This window comes from Homo sapiens, chromosome 5, assembly GCF_000001405.40.
Source record: "Homo sapiens chromosome 5, GRCh38.p14 Primary Assembly".
Lineage (NCBI taxonomy): Eukaryota > Metazoa > Chordata > Mammalia > Primates > Hominidae > Homo > Homo sapiens.
The window spans coordinates 139,596,129-139,620,358 of record NC_000005.10 but is presented as its reverse complement, the minus strand read 5'-3'; the positions used below and the strand labels follow the sequence as shown (position 1 = coordinate 139,620,358).

Below are 24,230 nucleotides of genomic sequence, written 5' to 3'. Positions count from 1 at the left end.
GGACAGGTTTTAAAGAAAGGGCTTTTCTTTCTTTCCAGGAAAGGAGAGTACTGGCTATCTGGACCTTGTGAAAAGATTTTTAGTACACTACTTAGCTTCTTGATTTCATGAAGAATTCATTTTGGTTTCTAATATACTGATATGGTTTGGATCTGTGTCCCCACACAAATCTCATGTTCAACTGTAATCCCCAACGTTGGAGGTGGGGCCTGGTGGGAGGCGACTGGATTATGGGGGTGTATCCTTCATGAATGGTTTAGCACGACCCCTTTGGTGCTGTTCTTGTGATAGAGTTCTCATGAGATCTGGCTGTTTAACAGTGTGTGGCACCTCCCCCATCTCTCTCTTGGTCCTGCTACTGCCATGTGAGACAGGTGGCTCCCCCTTTGCCTTCTGCCATGAGTAAAAGCTCCCGAGGACTCCGCAGAAGCAGATGCTGCCATGCTTTCTGTATAGCCCACAGAACTGTGAGCCAATTAAACCTCCTTTTTTTTTGAGACGGAGTTTCACTCTTGTTGCCCAGGCTGGAGTGCAATGGCGCGATCCCAGCTTCCTGCAACCTCCGCCTCCCGGGTTCAAGCGATTCTCCCGCCTCAGCCTCCCAAGTAGCTGGGATTACAGGCATGCACCACCAAGCCAGGCTAATTTTTGTATTTTTGGTAGAGATGGGGTTTCTCCATGTTGGTCAGGCTGGTCTCAAACTCCCGACCTCAGTGATCTGCGCATCTCGGCCTCCCAAAGTGCTGGGATTACAAGAGTGAGCCACCGCACCTGGCAAAACCCTTTTCTTTATAAATTATCCAGTCTCAGGTATTTCTTTATAGCAGTGCAAGAATGGACTGATACATATACTATACCTTCTTCTGTAAAGATAGTAACTCTTATTTCTATAACCTGTATAGTCTCTTCACTGAACTTTTACCTATATATATTCTTCATCAGTATTACTTTTTTTTTTTTTTTGAGACAGACTCTTGCTCTGTTGCCCAGGCTGGAGCACAGTGGTGTGATGTTGGCTCACTGCAACCTCTCCCTCCCAGGTTCAAGTGATTCTTGTGCCTCAGCCTCCCGAGTAGTTGGGACTATAGACACACACCACCCTGCCCTGCTAATTTTTGTATTATTGGTAGAAATCAGGTTTCACTATGTTGGCCAGGCTGTTCTTAAACTCCTGACCTCAAGTGATCCACCTTCCTTGGCCTCTCAAAGTGGATTACAGTCATGAGCCACTGCGCCTGGCCAGTATTACTTTTTCACTAGTGTTACAGCAACAGTTACTTTCACTTCTAAAAACATATAATCAAATGGCTTTATGGCACACTTATCTGCTTCCCTTCAGTTTTTTTCAGTGTTTTTGTTTTTGTTTTTTAAATATTTAGGTCCCCATCACGGACCTTCAAAGTAGAGTGAATACTGGGTCAAAATTTCTGTCCTTGAAGACAGACTATATGTTAAAGGAATAATATCATATACAGGATTAAGGCATTTCATAGAACTACTTGCCCATACATTCAATTTACAAAAAGGGACTCATTAAAACCTTAAATCTGAGACAGTTAATACAATCAAATTCAACAAAATGGCACTGCAACTATTTTAAAGGATAGCTATCCAGATAGAGAGAACCTAACAAATCAGACTTGTAACAGTCCTTATCATTTGGAATAGCTGAAAAAAAATCAACGCTAGGCAAGGGGAAGAACAAAAAGAGGTATGGCAATAATTTCAGCTATCTTGTGTCTCCAACACCTCACCCCACCAAACACACACCTCTCACACAATTCTACTTATCTTGGTCCCATTACTAGATTTACATCTCTATTGCTATTTGGTGAAGGAAGTGCAACCAATGGGACCCTCACCAGGCCAGGCACAGGTCCACAAACACTTTCTCAAGTAGCTCTTGAATTGTAAGGGGGCCTACCAAAAGAAAAGGGGACACTTCTCTAAAAAACTATTTCATTAAAGTTGTAATAACTTTAAAAAAATGTGGTTCTCTGGCATCCTGTTTTTATTTCTGCCTGGGACTCCAAAAATTTTAAATTAATGTCTCAGAGTTTTGTTTGCTTTAAAAAATTAATTTGTGGCCAGGAGCAGTGGCTCACACCTGTAATCCCAGCACTTTGGGAGGCTGAGGCGGGCGGATCACCTGAGGTTGGGAGTTCGAGACCAGCCTGACCAACATGGAGAAACTCCGTCTCTACTAAAAATACAAAATTATCTGGGCGTGGTGGTACATGCCCTATAATCCCAGCTGCTCAGAAGGCTGAGGCAGGAGAATGGCTTGAACCCGGGAGGTGGAGGTTGTGGTGAGCCGAGATTGCGCCACTGCACTCCAGCCTGGGCAACAAAAGTGAAACTCCTTCTCAAAAAAAAACAAATAATAATAATAATAATTTTTTTTTAAGATTGAGTCTTGACATCCAAGTGATAACATGACAAATACCCAACACTTTTGACAACTGTGCCTTTATCCCCAGTTTTTGGAGTACTTACAAGGAACCAGTTAACTGTCTGTTTTTGCTTCTTTAATCTTCGTAACAACAATGAAATATGTATTATTGTTCCTTTTCTACAGATGAAAAAACTGAGGAATACAGGGGCCAATGTGTCTCTAGCCTCATTTAATAAGAGGTGGATCTGAGATCTGAACACAGGCAATTGGATCTAGAATCTATGTTCTTTACCATGAAACTATGTTGCTTCCTGTCTAAATACATGCATTAAACAAATGGTAAATTATAAGCAGATAATTTCTACTTAATGGTTCAAATGGTAAATTATAAGCAGATAATTTCTACTAAAAATACAAAAATTAGCCAGGCGTGGTGGTGGGTGCCTGTAATCCCAGCTACTTGGGAGGCTGAGGCAGGAGAATTGCTTGAACCCGGGAGGCGGAGGTTGCAGTCAGTCAAGATCACACCATTGCACTCCAGCCTGGGCAACAAGAGCGAAACTCCCTCTCAAAAAAAAAAAAAAAAAAAAAAATCACACACCACATTTCACCACACAAATACCAAAACTAACATTGCTTGTCTATTTCTGGACACTCAACATACTTTTATATGTAACTCTTGTTACAGTGTATATGCCTTTTTTCTTTTTTCTGCTTTTCTCAAGCACAGTATTTTCCTATTTTCACAATATTTGTAAAGATCAATACTTTTTTTTTTTTGGAGACAAAGTCTCCCTCTGTCACCCAGGCTAGAGTGCAATGGTACCATCTTGACTCACTGCAACCTCCGTCTCCCGGGTTCAAGTGATTCTCCCGCCTCAGCCTCCTGAGTAGTTGGGACTACAGGCACGCACCATCACACCTGGCTAATTTTTTGTATTTTTAGTAAAGATGGGGTTTTGCCATGTTGGCCAAGCTGGTCTCGAACTCCTGGTCTCAAGTCATCTGCCCATCTCAGCCTCATAAAGTTCTGGGATTACAGGCATGAACCACTATGCCTGGCCAGGGTCAATACTCTTTTAAATGCATGTGCTGGAACCGATCTATTTTTTCCTCTACTGTAAGTAACCTCCAATTTTCAGAACTAAATCACAATGTCACAAATGTACTTGTATACAAAGTTTTTTCAGCATTTGGGATTGTTTTCTTAGTATAAATAAATGAAACTAGAATTATTGGGTGAATGGGCATGGATGATTAAGTCTCTTAACACATACTGGCAGACTGGGCTCTACAAATCTATACCTCTACTTGAAGAATATGAGTGTTCATTTCAATGTACCTCATTAGTGTTTTGTCTTCTTTTAAAAATATCTTTGTTAATTAAAAAGGTAAAAAATAGGAACGTAACATTCATTTATTTATTCTTTGGTTCCCCTGTGTCCATTCATCTATTGGGATCTGAATTTTTTTCTGATTTTTGTACTTCATATTTTAAACATATTAATCCATTACCATATTTGATTTTTCTCTTAAACAACTGATTTCATTTTCACAAAAGTACATCCAGTGAACTCTTTTATCACCTTTCAGAGTACAGCAGTGAGATCTGATAAATATTCTTGTTTTTGAGACGGAGTCTCGCTCTGTCCCCCAGGCTGGCCAGGCTGGAGTGCAGTGGCGCAATCTCAGCTCACTGCAACCTCCGCCTCCTGGGTTCAAGCGATTCTCCTGCCTCGGCCTCCCAAAGTGCTGGGATTACAGGCGTGAGCCACCGTGCCAGGCCATAAATACTTGTTTTTGTTTTCCTTTATAAATTCTAGATTATTTGGCTGGGCACGGTGGCTCATGCCTGTAATCCCAGCGCTTTGGGAGGCCGAGGCAGGTGGATCATAAGGTCAGGCGTTCGAGACCAGCCTGGCCAACATGGCGAAACCCAGTCTCTACTAAAAATACAAAAATTAGCTAGGCGTGGTGGCGGGTGCCTGTAATCCCAGCTACAAGGGAGGCTGAGGCAGGAGAATTGCTTGAACCCGGGAGGTGGAGGTTTCAATGAGCCAAGATTGCACCACTGCAGTCTAGCCTGGGCGACAGAGTGAGACTCCATCTCAAAAAAAAAAAAAAAAAAAAAAAATCTAGATTATTGTAACGCAACTGTGATTTCATCTGGGAATAATGTTGAAGGGTTGTACAATTTCAAATCAACACATTAAGACAACAACTACATCACTCAGTTCATTGATACAGAAACCTAAAGACAAGAGCTGGTAAAATATTTACCTATATTTTGTTCTTCAAGAACCTAACGTCTATGTTTACAGCATAGGCATTTGTCTAAAGGGCTGGTCTATTTCCTATTCTGCAATAGTATCTATCTTTTTCCATTCATGAATCTCAAGGTTGGAAGAGATGTTAATTGTGCTCTACTTTATGCTCTAAAAAAACATTCATACCAGTGTCCATCTTCTTTTTTTTTTTTGAGACAGAGTCTCGCTCTGTTGCCCAGGCTGGAGTGCAGTGGCACAATCTCTGCTCACTGAAACCTCTGCCTCCCGGGTTCACACCATTCTCCTGCCTCAGCCTCCCGAGTAGCTGGGACTACAGGCACCTGCCACCATGCCCAGCTAATTTTTTTGTATTTTTAGTAGAGACGGGGTTTCACCATGTTAGCCAGGATGGTCTCGATCTGCTGACCTTGTGATCTGCCCGCCTCGGCCTCCCAAAGTGCTGAGATTACAGGCATGAGCCACGGCACCAGGCCCAGTGTTCATCTTCTAACCTATGCTAGAGTAGCACAACTGACAGACTAGTCACTACACCAAGGAATACTTTTGCTTGAAAAATCCAACTCGTTTTCAGTTCTCAAGGTCCATTTCAGATTAAGAAGAATTGCTATCTCTTCTTAAAAGAAACATAAGTAATCTTTTCAAAAATAAATAACTCTAAAAAGACAAAAGACACGGTTGCTTTATCTTGATATCAAATACCCACTGTTACCTTTTGAAATAGTTAGTGCTGGAGACCACTGTGATCGTAGAATATCAAGACAAATGCTGCCATTACTGTTAATATTTGGATGATAAATTCTTGTTGTAAATGCAACCTACAGAAAGAAAGGAAACTTTCTGTAAACTAGTTTATTAGTATTATAGAAAGTACATTAAAAACTGCCACATTCCAATTAATTACCTTAGGTGGTTTGAAGGGGTAATCTGTTGGGAAATGAATTGTCAAGAAAAATACTCCACCCTGATAGGGACTGTCATTCTGTTGATAACAAGAAAAGTGGGATTAAAATGAGTAAATTACATAAACTGTTTATTCTGAAATTAATCTGAATACTTACTGGCCCCATTATTGTAGCTTGCCAATGGAACACTGAAAAATAACAAGAAAAAAGTCACCATGTAACAATATCTACATTGTATCTACGCCATAGTAACATATCATTCCCCTTCTAATCCAAATTCATTTATAAATAATATGATAATGAGTATGAGCAAGATGAGGAACATAAATTAACAGTCTAAAGAAACAAGAAAAATGACTAGAATGGCCTAGAACACTGATAAGGTGCTCAATGAAAAATATTTAGAGCCAGGTGTGGTGGCTCACACCTGTAATCCCAACACTTCCAGAAGCTGAGGTGAGAGGACTGCTTGAGCCTGAGAAGTGGAGGCTGCAATGAGCCATGACTGCGCCACTGCAAGACTCTCTCAAAAACAAAAACAAAAAAAACCGAAAGTATTTGGGCTAAAACTTCTTGAAACTTCATGTCAGGTAGACAAACTTCTTGACAAGGCTTACAGTTCTACTTTTAAACAGTTATTTCTTTACCTCACAGGGTAAATCATTTCTTCAAAACAATTACATATAATACACTTTTTTTTTTTTTTTTTTTTGAGACAGAGTCTCACTCTATCGCCCAGGCTGGAGTGCGCTGGCGCAATTTCGGCTCATTGCAACCCCCGCCTCCCGGGTTCAAGCAATTCTCCTGCCTCAGCCTCCCAAGTAGCTGGGACTACAGGCAAGTGCCACCACACCTGGCTAATTTTTGTATTTTTAGTAGAGACAAGGTTTTGCCACGTTTGGCCAGGTCTCAAACTCCTGACCTCAGATGATCCACCCACCTCAGCCTCCCAAAGCTGGAATTACAGGCATGACTCCTTTTATAATGCTGGTATACGGGGGACAAAACAGTAAAGTCAAGGTAGATAATACTCAAATTAAGAAAGACTGGTTTTAACAAGGAGAAAAAATTTCTAAAAACTCTTGTGTAGGTCTGTACATTACTGGCCCTCATTAAAGAAAGAAAAACATCTCTCCTAATGTAAAGGATAAGTTAAAGAGGAAAAAAGAGAAAAAAGGAGTAAAATTTAAGAAGAAAATATTAGCTGAAAGCCCAAGGTTGATTACAAGCTCCAGGGATACTTCTAATAAGTTATAAACTTGTTCAATAAATAAATATCTTCCAAATGCAGAAAATGATGCTTGTTCCATGTTCTCATGCTACTAAGTGCATCATGAGAGATCAAAAGCCAGAGTTTTTACTTATAATTAAGCTACTACTTAGCACACTTACCATTCATACTATGATCTGAGCAACCTAAGGGAAGTTGTCACTGGGGTTATATTTGAACAACCCAAACCAGGTAACTCTTGTCACAAGGTAGAAGAAACATGAAGACTAAGAAGCCATATAAAAATCCACCAGAATGTCAGTCCAAATCCTAAAGTTCCTTCCAACCTCCTTAATATCAAATTAATCCCTAAAGTTGGTTTGTTGCTCACTGGGACTTGAACCTAAAAATAGCAGCTTGTTGATTAGGGGTTAAAGGTAAAGGATAGGAATTGCTGAGGCTCCCTTCCTTAGATTAGCCCTCACTAGTACTTACAAACACTTATATTACTCTCTGCTGACCATTTAATGGACTGAGTAAGCCAAGGACAAAGCCATTCTGGGCCACTAAAACTGGACCTAGTATCTTCAAGGGAAGTCCTATAAAAAGCCCCTTGTATGTTGTTTAAAGACACAAAAGTGGGCACCTGTAGTCCCACCTACTCAGGAGGCTGAGATGGGAGGATGACTTGAGCCCAGGAGTTCAAGTCCAGCCCAGGCAACATAGCAAGACCCTGTTTCTGAAAAAAATTAAAAACAAGACTAAAACACACACACGCACATGCTCACACGCATGCATGCACACATACACGAGTCTCACTCTATTTTTAATCACAAATATACTTACAATTTGAGTAAATAAAACATTGATAACTAGAATTAACAACCCCCAATAACAAGACTAAAAACACTATTAGACAAAAGTATGACCAACTGGTCAAGGGACCTGTTCTTCTACTTAATTCTTTCCTGTTATTTAAATTTGTGGTTATAATGGAAGAGTATTAATTGTACCTGCATTTCCACTCAAAGCTGTAAGAGTTGGGTAAGATAGTAAGAAAGCACTGCTTTTAAGTGTTCTCAGGCACTGCCTGCCACAGTGGCGCCCTCATCTCTAATGTCTGCTGAGAAGGGGGATAAGTAAGGGGGCCTCTAGATCATGACTAGTACAAGGCAGATTACCAGCAAATTGGCCCAGTGGTAAAGCACCCAGGAAGCAATTAGCTACAGAAGTCACTCACAGGAGTGCACCCTTTACTGGAAGAGTAAAGAAACCTCACTGCTACAGGTCTGGTACTGTGGTACTCTGTGAAAACAGATCTCATCAGAAGTCCACTGAATTCTGATTAGCAAACTTCCTTTCCAGCATCTGATACAAGAAGTTGCTCAGGACTTCGAAACAAATCTACACTTCTGGCTTTTGTTACTTTGCAGGAGGCAAGTGAGGCCTATCTGATGAGCCTTTATGAAGACACCAACTTATGTGTAACTCATGCCAAATATGTAACAAGTATGCCAAAAGACATCCAGCTAGCATGCCAATTACATGGAGACTGTGCTTAAGATTGGGAAACATTTCATGTTCAAAAAAAAAAAAAAAAAACAATTATTTTTCTTCTTTCTGTTATTGATAGTTCTCTGTTAGATGTATTTTCCCCCACGGGGTCAAAAGGTAACTACATATATGACTGCGAGTGGAAAAACAGGGGACAGAAATCAGGTATTGGCAGTTTTTCCATTTTAACTTGTGTGTGAATTTCTAATATAAAATTGAGGATGTAAAGCATTAATTCAAGTCAAACTATTTCGGTGAACAAGTTTCAGCAGTTCACCTTTATAACAATTATAAACATACCTGTAAATTTTTTCTGGACAATGCTAGCAGTTGGATTTTATTTTTGTCACTAGTTATATCATTGGTTTATTATAAAAGAGAGACATGGAAATTATTTACATGATGAAAGATTTCAGAACTTTAGTGGAATGGGCAGCTTCACGTTGATGTCATTTCAATAGTGATTTATTTCAGTCTACACACTAAGAATGTCGCCATCTCTAAATAAGAAATAAAACTTGTCGCTGGGTGTGGTAGCTCACGCCTGTAATCCCAGCACTTTGGGAGGCCGAGGCAGGTGGCTCACCTGAGGTCAGGAGTTCGAGATCAGCCTGACCAACATAGTGAAACCCCGTCTCTACTGAAAATATAAAAAATTAGCTGGGCGTGATGGCGGGCGTCTGTAATCCCAGCTACTCAGGAGGCTGAGGCAGGAGAATCACTTGAAACTCGGAGGTGAATGCTGCAGTGAGCTGAGATTGCACCATTGCACTCCAGCCTGGGAAACAAGAGCGAAACTCCATCTCAAAAAAAAAAAAAAAAAAAAAAAAAAAAGAAGGAAAACTTGTCATCTAGAACTACTTTATTGCCTCTATATTCTAGGAGAACTGTATCTCTAACTTCTCGCTAACTAGTGGAATTTCTCCACCCTTTCCTTTAGAGCTCAAATTCAACAACTGTCAACACTACTGTTGCTTGCAATATTTTTCCTTGAGATTATTCTGGAAGCATAATGCCTCCTTTGGTTATAGTTTTGGCAGCACTCCTTTCAACCAATACTCTGTAAAAGAGTGAAAGAAACTTTCTAAACTCTTGTCCTGCCATGACTGCTGATGCTGCCACTGCTTGTACACTGCTCTCCTAGATTTATTTATTTTGAGACAGGGTTTTACTCCTTGTCACCCAGACTGGAGTAAAGGGCGCAACCTCAGCTCAACCTCCACCTCCCAGGCTTAAATGATCCTCCTGTCTCAGCCTCCCAAGTAGCTGGGACCATACCCAGCTAATTTTTCTATTTTCTGTAGAGACGGGATTTTGTTACGTTGCCCAGGCTGGTCTCGAACTCCTATGCTCAAGCAATCCCCTCACCTCAGCCTCCCAAAGTGCTGGGATTACAGGTATAAGCCACTGTGCCCAGACCCTCCTGGATTTTTTTCATATCAAGCAAAAAAAAAAATATATTTTTTTTTTGAGACGGAGTCTCGCTCTGTTGCCCAGGCTGGAGTGCAATGGCATGATCTCAGCTCACTGCAACCTCTGGCTCCCGGGTTCAGCAATTCTCCTGCCTCAGCCTCCTGAGTAGCTGGGATTACAGGCACACACCACCACACCAGGCTAATTTTTGTATTTTTAGTAGAGACGGGGTTTCACTATGTTGGACAGGCTGGTCTCAAACTCCTGACCTTATGATCCGCCCACTTCGACCTCCCAAAGTGCTGGGATTACAGGCGTGAGCCACTGTGCCCGGCCGTAAATTTTTATTGATGGCAACTAAATGGTGTTTGTAGCGTTTTTATCGTATGGTAGACTCTTCATTCATTCACTCTATTTTTCTGAGTTGCCCTACATGCAAGTATGTTTTTAATGTTGTCTGTCTCTGTACTGTTCCTTTGAGTTTGCTATTAAAATACACTAAACTATTTTTTAAGAAAGCACTTAAGGCCAGGCGCAGCGGCTCACACCTGTAATCCCAGCACTTTGGTAGTCTGAGGCAGATGAATCATGAGGCCAGGAGTTCAAGACCAGCCTGGCCAACATGGTGACACCCTGTCTCTACTGAAAATACAAAAAATTAGCTGGGCGTAGTGGCAGGTGCCTGTAATCCCAGCTACTCGGGAGGCTGAGGAAGGAGAATCGCTTGAACCCAGGAGGCGGAGGTTGCAGTGAGCTGAGATCGTGCCACTGCACTCCAGCCTGGGCAACAGTGCGAGACTCCATCTCAAAAAAAAAACAAAAAAACAAAAAAAGAAAGAAAGAAAGAAAACAACTTAAAAAAGAAAAAAAGAAAGAAAGCACTTAATAAAATATTAATTTTTTTTTTTTTTTAAATAGAGATGCGCAGCCAGGTGTGATGGCTCACACCTGTAATCCCAGCACTTTGGGAGGCCGAGGCGAGCGGATCACCTGAGGTTGGGAGTTCAAGACCAGCCTGACTAACACGGAGAAACCCCATCTCTACTAAAAATACAAAATTAGCCAAGCATGGTGGCGCATTGCCTGTAATCCCAGCTACTCGGGAGGCTGAGGCAGAAGAATCGCTTGAACCTGGGAGGCAGAGGTTGTGGTGAGCCAAGATCGTGCCATTGCACTCCAGCCTGGGCAACAAGAGCGAAACTCCATCTCAAAAAAAAAAAGAGATGGGGTCTCACTATGTTGTCCAGGATGGTCTTGAACTCCTGGGCTCAAGCAGTTCACCCACCTCAGCCTCCCAAAGTGCTGGGATTATAGGTGTGGGTCACCACACCCAGACAAAATATAAAAATATTGAGACAATTAAAAAAATTAAATTTTCCATTAACCATTTAGGTACTAATTCAAGATCTTCACTAGTCTTTTCAGGATCAATCTTTTTCTTTTCCTGCTAATACTACTACCAGACTTAAGAAGTTATTAGAAAAATTTAAATCAGAATTTTTTTTTTTTTGAGATGGAGTCTCGCTCTGTCGCCTGGGCTGGAGTGCAGTGGTGCGATCTTTGCTCACTGCAACCTCCGCCTCCCAGGTTCAGGCAATTCTCCTGCCTCAGCTCCCTGAGTAGCTGGGATTACAGGTGTGTGCCACCACACCTGACTAATTTTGCTGTATTTTTAGTGGAGACTGGGTTTCACCATGTTGGTTAGGCTGGTCTCGAACTCCTGACTTCAGGTGATCCACCCACCCTGGCCTCCCAAAGTGCTGAGATTACAGGCATAAGCCACCAGGCCCGGCCTTAAATCAGAAATTTTTAGCTAAATATTTCCTTTTTTGTGATTCCCTGTTCTTCCTACTAACACAAACAAAGCACAAATAGGCTGTGGGATCAAAATCTACTAACAATTGGACAACGCAGAATCCCCAACAGGGTTGAAGCAGAAATGCCAACAAGCTGCCAATGTTTATAATTATGGAAAGAATACCCTTCTTCTTCTTTTTTTTTTAAAATAGAGACGGGGTCTTCCCATGTTGCCCAGGCTGGTCTCAAACTCCTGGGCTCAAGCGATCTGCCTGCCTTGACCCCCCAAACTGCTGGGAATATAGGCATGAGCCACCAGCAGTGCCCAGCCAGAATACCCAGAATACCCTTCTTTTTTTTCTTTCTTTTTTTGAGACAGTCTCACTTTGTCAAGGCTGGAGTGCAATGGCACAATCTGAGCTCACTGTAACCTCTGCCTCCCAGGTTCAAGCAATTCTCCTGCTTCAGCTTCCCAAGTAGCTGGGATTACAGGTGTGCAACACCTCACCCGGCTAATTTTTTGTATTTTTAGTAGAGATGGGGTTTTGTCACGTTGCCCAGACTGGTCTCAAACTCCTGAGCTCAGGCAATCCGCCCACCTTGGTCTCCCAAAGTGCTAGGATTACAGCCGTGAGCTACCACGCCGGGCCAGAATACCCTTCTTGATAGAAGATGGGGAAAAAAATAAATATTTTCAACTAATATTGCAATCTTTCATACCCACGCTACAAAAAGTTAGAGATACTCTAGCATATTGTATATTTAAGTTTTTTTTTTTTTTTCCCAAGAGACAGAGTCTCACTCTACTGCCCAGACTGGAGTACAGTGGCACAACTTTGGCTCACTGCAGCCTCAAACTCCTGGGCTCAAGCAATCCTCCCACGTCAGCCAACTGAGTAGCTGGGACTACAGGCAAGTGTCACCATGTCCTGCTCATTTTTTTAATTTTTATTTTTGTAGAGATCGGGTCTTGCTATGTTGCCCAAGCTGGTCTCAAACTCTTGGCCTCAAGCGATCCTTCTGCATTGGCCTACCAAAGTGCTGGGATTACAGGCATGAGCCACTGTACCATGCCGAACATTCTTACATTATTGTGAACTTTTAACTCAACATCATAGATGATCTCATCTGTAATCCATATCTATTTAATTTAGTAGATCATATCTGTTTAACATTCCAACAGGACTAAACATATGTAATCCATTGGCATTAAACTCTGAATAAAAACCTATTCACATTCTAATAACACTATGTTAATTTGTCTTCACTGTTATTAAGGTCAAATTCCATCATCAAAAAAATGAGCAAAAACACATACACAGGGCTAAGTCTTTAAAATAGCAGAAGGAAAAGGAAGAAGAAAATTACTAATGCAGCAACCAAGACAAATAATCTTTATGGCTCTCATAAAATGATCTAGAATCTACAGTACCAAAAAAAGGCAGAGAAAGAGAAACTAAAACCCATTCACATGAATGTAATTAAAGCATTTAAAGACCTACCATTTAAATCTTAATTGAGAATTTTGTCACACTGGTTGAATATAAAGATACCTACTAAAACCACTGATTTAGGTTACTCTCTGGAAGCCTTTCTAGACTCTTAGCTCTTATAGGCAGAAGTATAAATCAGAGAAGCTAGTGACAGAATACCAAACCTGCCTCACATTACAATGTTTTTAGAAATAGCTCAAGTAGGCTAGGCGTGGTGGCTCACGCCTGTAATCCCAGCACTTTGGGAGGCCGGGGCAGACCAATCACGAGGTCAGGAGTTCAAGACCAGCCTGGCCAACATGGTGAAATACCGTCTCTACTAAAAATACAAAAAATTAGCTGGGCGTGGTGGCAGGCACCCGTAATCCCAGCTACTTGGGAGGCTGAGGCAGGAGAACTGCTTGAACCCGGGAGGCAGAGGTTGCAGTGAGCCAAGATCATGCCACTACACTCCAGGGGGGCGACGATGTGAGACTCTGTCTCAAGAAAAGAGAAATAGCTCAAGAATTACTAGAGGTTCAAGTAAAAAGGACCCCCAAAATAGTTACTGAATGAAATACTGGACCATAAGCATAAAATATTGCTACATTTTACATAAACATCTGTTTCAAAAATCTTTCATTTAATGATCCATCTTAGGATTGATCAAAATTGACCAAAATAAAAAGTTTTGATAGTAAAAAACAAAAATAAGTTCCCAGCACTATGTTGGTTTAATACTATCAAACCAAATTACACAAACTGAAAGTTACATAATCTGTTTTATGAGAGTTTAAATGTGAAGTTCACAGATGAATGATTACTCTTTAGTATTCTGGATGAAGCCTTGAGGTTAAAAGGGACAGGCCGGGCGCAGTGGCTCAAGCCTGTAATCCCAGCAGTTTGGGAGGCCGAGGTGGGTGGATCACCTGAGGTCAGGAGTTCGAGACCAGCCTGGCCAACATGGTGAAACCCAGTCTCTACTAAAAATACAAAAAATTAGTCGGTCGTGGTGGTGCATGCCTGTAATCCCAGCTACTTGGGAGGCGGAGACAGGAGAATTGCTTGAACCTGGGACGCAGAGGTTTCAGTGAGCCGAGATTGCGCCACTGCACTCCAGCCCGGGCAACAGAGTGAGACTCCATCTCAAAAAAACAAACAAACAAACAAAACAGCAGGGGACAGTGAGAATATTTGATAGTATGAGACTGAATCCCCAGAGACCTACACTTGAATGCACAGATCTCAAGAGAGTCACATTTACCAACTGTTCAAAAGAAAAGAAAGCTGGGTGCGGTAGCTCGCAGCTGCAATCACAGGGCTTTGGGAGGCAGAGGCAGGAGGATCACTTGAGCCCAGGATTTCAAGACCAGCGTAGGAAACATGGTGAGACCCTATTGCTACAATTTTTTTTTTTAAATTAGCCAGGGGTGTAGGGGCATGTACCCATAGTCCCAGCTACTCAGGAGGCTGAGGTGGGAGGATCCCTTGAGCCCAGGAGTTTGAGGCTTCAGTGAGCTGCAATCGCGCCACTGCACTCTAGCCTGGGCAACAGAGTGAGCCCCTGCCTTTAAAGAAGACCAGAGGAGAGGAAGACGAGGGAGAAGGGAGGGAGAGAGGGAGGGGAGGAGGAGGGGGAAAGGAAGGGAGGGAAGAGAGAAGGAAACAGATATATGGCCATTAAATCTTCAGCTTATTTGTTTCTTTCTTTTCTTTTTTTTTTTTTTTTTTTTTTTGAGACAGAGTCTTGCTCTGTCACACAGGCTGGAGTGCAGTGGCGTGATCTTGGCTCACTGCAAGCTCCACCTCCCGGGTTCACGCCATTCTCCTGCCTCAGCCTCCTGAATAGCTGGGACTACAGGCACCTGCCACCAAGCCCGGCTAATTTTTTGTATTTTTAGTAGAGACGGGGTTTCACCATGTTAGCCAGGATGGTCTCAATCTCCTGACCTCGTGATCCGCCCGCCTCGGCCTCCCAAAGTGTTGGGATTACAGGCGTGAGCCACCGGGCCCGGCTGCTTACTTCTTTCAGGATGTACATTTCTTCCTGCTTACCAGATCTTTGCAGGAAAGTGAAAAAAAATTTACTAGTACATTAAAATCTGGATGTTTTAAAATAAAGCACAGATCTCTACTTTATTTTTATACTAAATATCAACATTAAAATCTGGATGTTTTAAAATAAAGCACAAGTCTCCACTTTATTTTTACACTAAATATCAATAACATGTGGTACTGAGGGATTTGGGTACCAGGATAGTCAAAAGGAGCTCAAAAGTTTCAAAAGGCCAACAGTTTCTCTCTTCCTTCTTCTAAGATTAAATTCTGACTCCTTATAACAAAAATAAAATGACAAAAGGACATTTAGCTATCCAATCATACTTGATGTACTCTTATGTGGGGTTCATCAGAAAGATCTGATCAATACTTGTTTTTTTTTTTTTTTTAGAGACTGGGTCTCAACCTGTCATCCAAGCTAGAGTATAGTGGCCAAATCATAGCTCACTGCAGCCTCAAACTTCTGGGCTCAGGTGTTCCTCCTGCCTCAGCCTTGTGAGTAGGTGGGACTACAGCCATGAGCCACCACTCCCAGCTAATTTTTAGTTTTAAAGATGGGGTCTTGCTTTGTTGCCCAGGCTGGCATAAAACTCCTGGCCTCAAGTGATCCTCCAGTCTCAGTCTCCCCAGTAGCTGGGATTACAGGCATGAGCCACTGTGCCTGGCTCTTCTTCACTGTAGTTTTGATTTGTATTTCCCTAATGACAAATGATGTTGAGCATCTTTTCGTGTGCTTACTAGCCATCTTATCTGGAGAAATGTCTACTCGGATCCTTTGACTATTTTTTAATTGGTTATTTATTTTTATACTGAGTTATAGGAGTTTTTAAACAGCTGGGTGGGGTGGCTCATGCCTGTAATTCCAGCGCTTTGGGAGGTAGAGGTGGGCGGATCACTTGAGGTCAGGAGTTCAAGACCAGCCTGGCCAACATGGTGAAACCCATCTCTACCAAAAATACGAAAATTAGCTGGGCGGCGGGGCACGTGCCTATAATCAGCTACTCGGGAGGCTGAGGCAGGAGAACTGCTTGAACCCACGAGGCGAAGGTTATAGTGAGCCAAGACCGCACCACTGCACTCCAGCCTGGGTGACAAAAGCGAGATTCCGTCTCAAAAAAAAAAAAAAAAAGTTTTAAAAATATACTGGATATATGTCCCTTATGAGATATATGACTTGCAACAATTTCTTCCATTCTATATGTTTTATCACTTTCGTGATGGCATCATTTGCAGCCTGTATATATTTAATTTTGATGAAGTCTAATAATATCTATTTTTTTCTCTTACTGATTAGCTTTGGGAGAGTTTGTTTGTTTTTTTGAGACGGAGTTTCAGTCTTGTTGCCCAGGCTGGAGTGCAATGGCGTGATCTCGGCTCACTGCAGCCTCTGCCTCCCGGGTTCAAGCGATTCTCCTGCCTCAGCCTCCCAAATAGATGGGATTACAGCTCCCACCACCACACCTGGCTAATTTCTTGTATTTTTATTTTTAGTAGACGGGGTTTCACCAGAGTTCAAGGCCAGACTGGTCTTGATTGAATTCCTGGCCTCAGGTAATCCACCTGCCTCGGCCTCCCAAAGTGCTGGCATTACAGGCGTACAGACGTGAGACACCACACCCAGCCTTTTTTTTTTTTTTTTTTTTTTTCGGAGACAGAGTCTCACTCTGTCACCCAGGCTGGAGTGTAGTGGCGGGATCTCGGCTCACCACAACCTCCGCCTCCCAGTTCCAACGATTCTCCTGCCTCAGCCTCCTAGGTAGCTGGGATTATAGGCAGGCGCCACCGCGCCCAGCTAATTTTTGTATTTTTAGTAGAGACAGGGTTTCACCATGTTGGCCAGGCTGGTCTTGAACTCCTGGCCTCCCAAAGTGCTAGGATTACAGACGTGAACCATCGCACTCGGCTGTGGGAGAGTTTTATTTAACTCTCCAAAGGGAACAATTTTTCAACCTGAGAAAGAAATGTATAGTGCTAACTATGGCAGAAGCAAAGCAAAGACAAATTACTTTAGCATGCTAAAGAAAACTTCAAAATTGAAATCAAATCCCCTGACTCCAACCACTTTTAATTAAAGATTTTCAGCCATTCTTAACTTGGAGGAATTTACCTAAAAGCACTTTTCCAACTGAATAGAAAGAGTACACTGATGTATGTGGCCCATATGATACAGTGGAAGGACAAACTAGAATCAGAAAACCTGAGAGTGAGTTCACATGGAGAATCTCCATGAGATTCTCATGGGACTTTTTTCTAAAACAATTTAAAATTTCTACTCCACTCACCTAAATGAGTTGTTGTAAGGCTTAAATGAGACAACGTGTGTAACAGCACTTACTAAATTATTTTGTATAGTTTAAGTACTTAGCCTGCCTTGTTTGGTACCAAATACTATAGTTACTCACGCTAGGTAAGTCAGAATATAATAATGTAAATGAGTTTTTTCATGACATGTACTTAGACTCATAATTTATAATATTTATCTATTTGTAAAGTAATCCTTGTGAAAGGGCCTTGCTTTGATTCTTCAGGATTTAGCAGACCAGACACATTCTTTTTTTCCGTTTTTTGTTGTTGTTGTTGTTGTTTTTGTTTTGAGAGAGTCTCGCTCCCGTTGCCCAGGCTGGAGTGCAGTTGTGCAACCTTGGCTCACTACAGCCTCAACTGCCTGGACTCAAGCGATCCTCCCACCTTAAACTCCTGAGTAGCTGGGGCTACAGGCATGCACCACCAGGCCAGGCTAATTTTTGTATTTTTTTGTAGAGAGAGGGTTTCACCATGTTGCCCAGGCTGGTCTCGCACTCCTGGGCTCAAGTGATCTGCCTGCCTCAGCCTCCCAAAGCACTGAGATTACAGGTGTGAGCCACTGGGCTGGGCCCAGACACAACATTATTAAGAAAAATCAGGAAAAAACAATTTGAGGCCAGGCGCAGTAGCTCACGCCTGTAATTCCAGAACTTTGGGAGGCCAAGGCAGGTGGATCACCTAAGGTCAGGAATTCAAGACCAGCCTCGCCAACATGGCGAAACCCCGTCTCTACTAAAAATACAAAAACTAGCCAGGTGTGGTGGCAGGTGCCTGTAATCCAAGCTACTTGGAAGGCTGAGGCAGGAGAATGGCATGAACCCAGGAGGCGGAGCTTGCAGTGAGCCGAGGTCACGCCACTGCACTCCAGCACGGGCAACAGAGTGAGACTCCATCTTAAAAAACAAAACAAACAAACAAAAAAATATTAAACATAAGCTAATTTAACCATGTACTCATTTTGGTCTGAATCTACATATTTACACAAGTGTTTGTAAGTATGCATACTTTAAAATATTTGTTAAATGTTACAAATTTTTTTTTCTTTTTTTTTTTTTTGAGAGTAAGTCTCACTCTGTCACGCAGGCTGGAGTGCAGTGGCACAATCTCAGCTCACTGCAACCTCTGCCTCCTGGATTCAAGCAGTTGTCTGCCTCAACCTCCCAAGTAGGTGGGATTACAGGCGCCTGTCACCATGCCTGGCTAAATTTTTTTCTATTTTTAGTAGAGGCGGGGTTTCACCATCTTGGCCAGGATGGTCTCAAACTCTGACCTCGTGATCCGCCCGCCTCGGCCTTTCAAAGTGCTGGGATTAGAGGCATGAGCCATGACGCCCCGTCCTGTTTTTATTTTTTGAGACAGCGTCTCACTCTGTCGCCCAAGCTGGAGTGCAGTGGCATGGTCCTGGCTCACTGTAAACTCTGCTACCCAGGCTCAGGCTAAAGCAAACCTCCCACCTTAGCCTTCCAAGTAGCTCGGACTACCAGCATGCACCAACATACCCGGCTAATTTTTTTGTGTGTTTTTTGTAGAGACAGGGCTTCACCATGTTGACCAAGCTGGTCTTGAACTCCTGGGCTCAATTGATTCACCTGCCTCGGTCTCCTAAAGTGCTGGGATTAGGGACATGAGCCATCACACCCAACCAAATGTTACAGTTTTTTGTGAATTAGTTTTACATCACATAGCATAGTCTCATTCAAATATCCCCTCTTTAAAAAAAGTTAAAAGACACTATATGGGAAAAAATTATGTTGAAATGAAGTGGAACAAAGAGGAAATTATCATCTAATGTATGCATTAAGATCATCTTTTTAGACAAAATTAAGCAGATAAATTGGACATTAAAAATAAAGACCTGCTTTTGGCCAGGTGTGGTGGTTCATGCCTATAATCCCAGCACTTTGGGAGGCCAAAGCGGGCGGATCACCTGAGGCCAGGAGTTTGAGACCAGCCTGGCCAACATGGCGAAACCACGAATCTACTAAAAATACAAAAATTAATCAGGCGTGGTGGCATGCACCTGTAATCCCAGATACTCGAGAGGCTGAGGCACGAGAATCACTTGAACCCAGGAAGCAGAGGCTGCAGTGAGCTGAGATCACGCCACTGCACTCCAGCCCGGGCTTGACAGAGCGAGACCCTGTCTCAAGAAAAAAATAAATAAAGACCTGATTTCGCAAGTATGAGTCAGTAGAAAGTCAGACACAGACACACATACTATCATCCTTAGTATTATCTTACTCAAGAATAATAGCTAGTTGTAGGTAAAAGCTTAAATATTTCACTCCAGGAAAATACCCAGAAGGGATGAAGGTAAGGTAGGAGAGGACTAGAACAACTACATAGCCAATACCTGGCAGAAGATTCAAAATGTAATGAACAACACAGATGATAATGGGATGAACATAGAGTTGCTCCCTTCATGGGCCACTAAGGGTTAAACACTGCCTCTTCCCTATACCATAATTGTTTCTTCACACAAAATAACCACTGTTATGCTATTACTCCATTATTCCTTTTAAATACTTACTATCATCTCCAACAGGACCTGCTGAACACTGTGCTGGAGGGTCCCGTGCCAGATCATTCAATTCCTACAGAAAAAAGAAAGAAAAGAAATATATTCAACATAAATGTACCTTTTATCCATTACTAAAGTTTATATTGTTACCAATATTCTCTGTCCTGCTGGTGAAACTCTCTTAAGAGCATTCCTTCAGAGTAAGAGATGAGTAGATTGGTGAATCTTTAAGGTATTTTGGATTCTTCAAGGCAATGTGTATTTTTTTAAAGTGGGTCATTTTTGCTTTGTTCAGAGCTTAGCAAATAAATACAATCAGGAAGGTAAAACATGTGTCATGTATTATGGGCCGGGCGTGATGGCTCACACCTGTAATCCCAGCACTTTGGGAGGCTGAGGCGGGCAGATCACTTGAGGTCAGGAGTTCGAGACCAGCCTGGCCAACAAGCCTGTCTCTACTGAAGATAGAAAAAATTAGCTGGGCATGGTGATACATGCCTGTCATACCAGCTACTCAGGAGGCTGAGGCAGGAGAATCCCTTGAACCAGGGAGGCGGAGGTTGCAGTAAGCCAAGATTGCACCACTGCACTCCAGCCTGGGTGATAGAGCGAGACTCCATTTCAAAAAAACAAACAAACAAAAAACATGTATTATGTATTAAAGAGCCAAAAATACTGTTTTTTTTGTTTGTTTGTTGTTTGTTTTTTGAGACGGAGTCTTGCTCTGTCGCCCAGGCTGGAGTGCAGTGGCGCAATCTCAGCTGACTGCAAGCTCCGCCTCCAGGGTTCACGCCATTCTCCTGCCTCAGCCTCCCGAGTAGCTGGGACTACAGGTGCCCGACCCAAACGCCCGGCTAACTTTTTGTATTTTTAGTAGAGACAGGGTTTCACCGTGTTAGCCAGGATGATCTCAATCTCCTGACCTGGTGATCCGCCCACCTTGGCCTCCCAAAGTGCTGGGATTACAGGCGTGAGCCACCGCGCCTGGCCAAAATTGTTTTAATGTAAACATTTCATTTATTATTTTTCAAAAAAAAAATTTAAGGCCAATTTTTGTACCTCAAAACTATTAGGTTACACTTGGGACAAGCTCCTAAAGTCATAAATGTTCCAAAATTATACTGGACCATCTGACAAGTTGATATGCTTTCAGTGGAAGTCCACTACCAGGGTTCTAAAAGTAGAAAAAACTTTGAAGGAATATATTTTAGGCTGGGCACAGTGGCTCATGCTTGTAATCCCAGCACTTTGTGGGGCCGAGGTGGGAGGATCACCTGACGTCAGGAGTTCGAGACCAGCCTAGCCTGGTGAACATGGTAAAACCCCATTTCTACTAAAAATACAAAAATTAGCCGAGCGTAGTGGGTGCATGTCTATAGTCCCAGCTACTCGGGAGGCTACAGCAGGAGTATTGCTTGAACCCAGGAGGCAGAGGTTGCAGTGAGCCAAGATCATGCCACTACACTCCAGCCTGGGACAACAGAACGAGACTTTGTCTCAAAAAAAAAAAAAAAAAAAAAAAAAAGGAATATATTTTAAAAGGCTGACTGAAGTAATAAAAGCCACCATAGAGCTTTGTAGTTCCCAGGAGCGATGGCTCACACCTGTAATCCCAACACTTTGGGAGGCCAAGGTGGCGCCAATCACTTGAGGCCAGGAGCTTGAAACCAGCCTGGCCAACATAGCAAGACCCCATCTGTACTAAAAAAACACAAAATTAGCTGGGAGTGGTGGCACACGCCTGTAATCCCAGCTACTTGAGAGGCTCAGGCAGAAGTAATGCTTGAACCCAGGAAAGGGAGGTTGCAGTGAGCCGAGATCATGCCACTGCACTCCAGCCTGGGTGACAGAGGGAGACTCCATCTCAAAAAAAAAAAAAAAAAAAAAAAAAAGGCTTTGTAGTCAGAGATTGGTCTACCTGGAATAATGCTTTACAACCAGTTACCAGCTTCTCAGCTTTTTAAACATAAAAGCCCAGAAACTTGAGACTTGTTATTGGGTGAGGATGCCTGAAAAATCACAAGGCAGGAAATCATACTATATTCCATTTCCCCTCAGCTTGGTTTTTGAGACAAAAAGAAAGTTCTCAAGAAGAACTAGTTTTGATTATACTTTAAAACTACAAGAGTAAAAACAGTAAAGTCTAAGATTTTTTAAATCCAAAACCATTTAGACTCTTATGTCGTTTCATCCTGTCTGTAAGCTTGGAGTACACAAAGCATAAAGTACAGAAATAAAGTTTGAAAAAGGGCCAGGCACAGTGACTCATGCCTGTAATCCCAGCACGAGGCTGAGGCAGGCAGATCACGAGGTCAGGAGATCGAGACCATCCTGGCTAACATGGTGAAACCCCATCTCTACTAAAAATATAAAAAATTAGCCAGGCATGGTGGCGGGTGCCTGTAGTCCCAGCTACTCGGGAGGCTGAGGCAGAAGAATGGTGTGAACCCGGGAGGTGGAGCTGGCAGTGAGCCAAGATCACGCCACTGCACTCCAGCCTGGGCGACAGAGCGAGACTTCGTCTCAAAAAAAAAGAAATAAAGTTTGAATAAAAAGAAGGCTCTGGATTGAGATAACGATTAACTTACTCAAATATCTCAAATTTTAGATTTTATGTCTCTAAAATAGAGATTTTCTGCCCATCTCAAGAAAAAAAGTAATAGCCTACTGTATAGTTCCCATTCTCAAATATTACTGACAGCACAGGTTGGTATAACTAAGAACACCTGGCTTTATTTAAGACATTGCTATAGCAACAGGTTGTTAATTAAAATATAACTTGAATTTAACAATTTAACAATTGAACAATTCTGAAGTCCTGCCATGTTCATTAAGTGGAATTTTACTTTTGATTTCGCTTTAATCTTTTGCCCCTTTCAAACTGAGTTACTTTTTTCCATGCTGAATAACATCAAGGTTTTTAACTCAAGAGCTAAGATTTATCTAAGCAGAATACAAGATCCATCAGTCCATTTCAGGAGCCAATATAATTTTAAAACCCTAAGCCAAACTTAGGCTAATAGACATTTAACACACTCATTCAACACTTCCTTGGCTGATGGCACTGATACAGCTGAATCTCAAAAGCATACTGCTAAGTGAAAGAAGCCAGACATAAGGCTACATGATGTATGATTCCATTTATATGACATTCTAGAACAGGCAAAACTATAGTGACAGAAAGCAGATCCATGGTTCCAGTGGCTGGAGGGAGTTGGAGGGGGGAATAACTATAAAAGAGACATGAAGAAAATTTGAGGAGTGATAGAAATGTTCAAAATCATTATTTTGGTAGAGATTGGACAACTATATTTGTCAAAACTCAAATTGTACACTAAATGTTACTGTAATACCCTATCTCAAAGTTGTTTATTATTTTTTTTAATGTAATTTTTTTTTTAGATGGAGTCTTGCTCTGTTGCTCAGGCTGGATGCAGTGGCACGATCTTGGCTCACTGCAAGCTCCGCCTCCCGGGTTCACGCCATTCTCCTGCCTCAGCCTCCTGAGCAGCTGGGACTACAGGTGCCCACCACCACGCCGGGCTAATTTTTTTTGTATTTTTAGAAGAGATGGGGTTTCACCGTGTTAGCAGGATGGTCTCGATCTCCTGACCTCGTGATCTGCCCACCTCGGCCTCCCAAAGTGCTGGGATTACAGGAGTGAGCCACCGCACCTGGCCTATTATTATTATTATTATTATTTTAATGCAGAGACAAGGTCTCACTATGTTTCCCAGGCTGGTGTCTAATGCCTAGACTCAAGCGATCCTTCCGCCTCAGCCTCCCAAAGTGCTGGAATTACAGGTGTGAGCCACAGTGCCTGGCCAGTTTTTTATTCTTAAAAGTACATTTGGGCTGGGCACGGTAGCTCACACCTGTAATCCCAGCACTTTGGGAGGCCAAGGCGGGTGGATCACAAGGTCAGGACTTCGAGACCAGCATGACCAACATGGTGAAACCCCATCTCTAAAAAAAATACAAAAATTAGCTGGGTGTGGTGGCGCACACCTGTAATCCCATTTACCGGGGAGGCTGAGGCAGGAGAATCGCTTGAACCCAGGAGGCGGAGGTTGCAGTGAGCTGAGATTGTGACACTGCACTCCAGCCTGGGTGACAGAGCGAGACTCTGTCACACACACATACACACACACAGGACATTCAGATTCAGAAACAGATCTTTTTTAAAAAAGAAAAAGCACGTAACTATCCATCTTTACATGTGCATAAAATATCTCCCAAGAATACACAAGAAACGCCAGGCACAGGGGCTCATACCTGTAATCCCAGCACTTTGGGAGGCTGAGGTGGGCGGATCA

The 24,230-nt window shown here is 42.4% G+C and overlaps 1 protein-coding gene and 2 pseudogenes across 4 annotated transcripts in view, besides 2 other annotated features; 1 reads left to right on the top strand and 2 right to left on the bottom strand.

Annotated features, from left to right (window-relative positions):
- Positions 1-24,230, bottom strand: part of UBE2D2 (ubiquitin conjugating enzyme E2 D2) — a 102,195-nt gene that overhangs the window by 8,076 nt on the left and 69,889 nt on the right. For all 4 annotated transcript variants that reach the window (XM_047417691.1, NM_181838.2, NM_003339.3 and 1 more), the window contains 4 exons: positions 19,924-19,987; positions 5,742-5,773; positions 5,585-5,662; positions 5,393-5,498 (listed from right to left, as the gene is read on the bottom strand). In XM_047417691.1, coding sequence (XP_047273647.1) covers positions 5,393-5,498; positions 5,585-5,662; positions 5,742-5,773; position 19,924 — 217 coding nt within the window. In that variant the 5' untranslated portion in view covers positions 19,925-19,987. The remainder of the gene's footprint in view (positions 1-5,392; positions 5,499-5,584; positions 5,663-5,741; positions 5,774-19,923; positions 19,988-24,230) is intronic.
- Positions 7,996-8,357, top strand: H3P25 (H3 histone pseudogene 25; annotated as a pseudogene).
- On the bottom strand, positions 9,178-9,453 carry HSPE1P15 (heat shock protein family E (Hsp10) member 1 pseudogene 15; annotated as a pseudogene).
- Positions 16,247-16,747: an enhancer, noted in NCBI's record as "H3K4me1 hESC enhancer chr5:138983197-138983697 (GRCh37/hg19 assembly coordinates)". NCBI's record gives its function as "activates a minimal SCP1, AML or CMV promoter by ChIP-STARR-seq in primed H9 embryonic stem cells {active_cell/tissue: H9 hESC(primed)}" and the evidence as "EXISTENCE:reporter gene assay evidence [ECO:0000049][PMID:30033119]".
- Positions 16,748-17,248: an enhancer, noted in NCBI's record as "H3K4me1 hESC enhancer chr5:138982696-138983196 (GRCh37/hg19 assembly coordinates)". NCBI's record gives its function as "activates a minimal SCP1, AML or CMV promoter by ChIP-STARR-seq in naive H9 embryonic stem cells {active_cell/tissue: H9 hESC(naive)}" and the evidence as "EXISTENCE:reporter gene assay evidence [ECO:0000049][PMID:30033119]".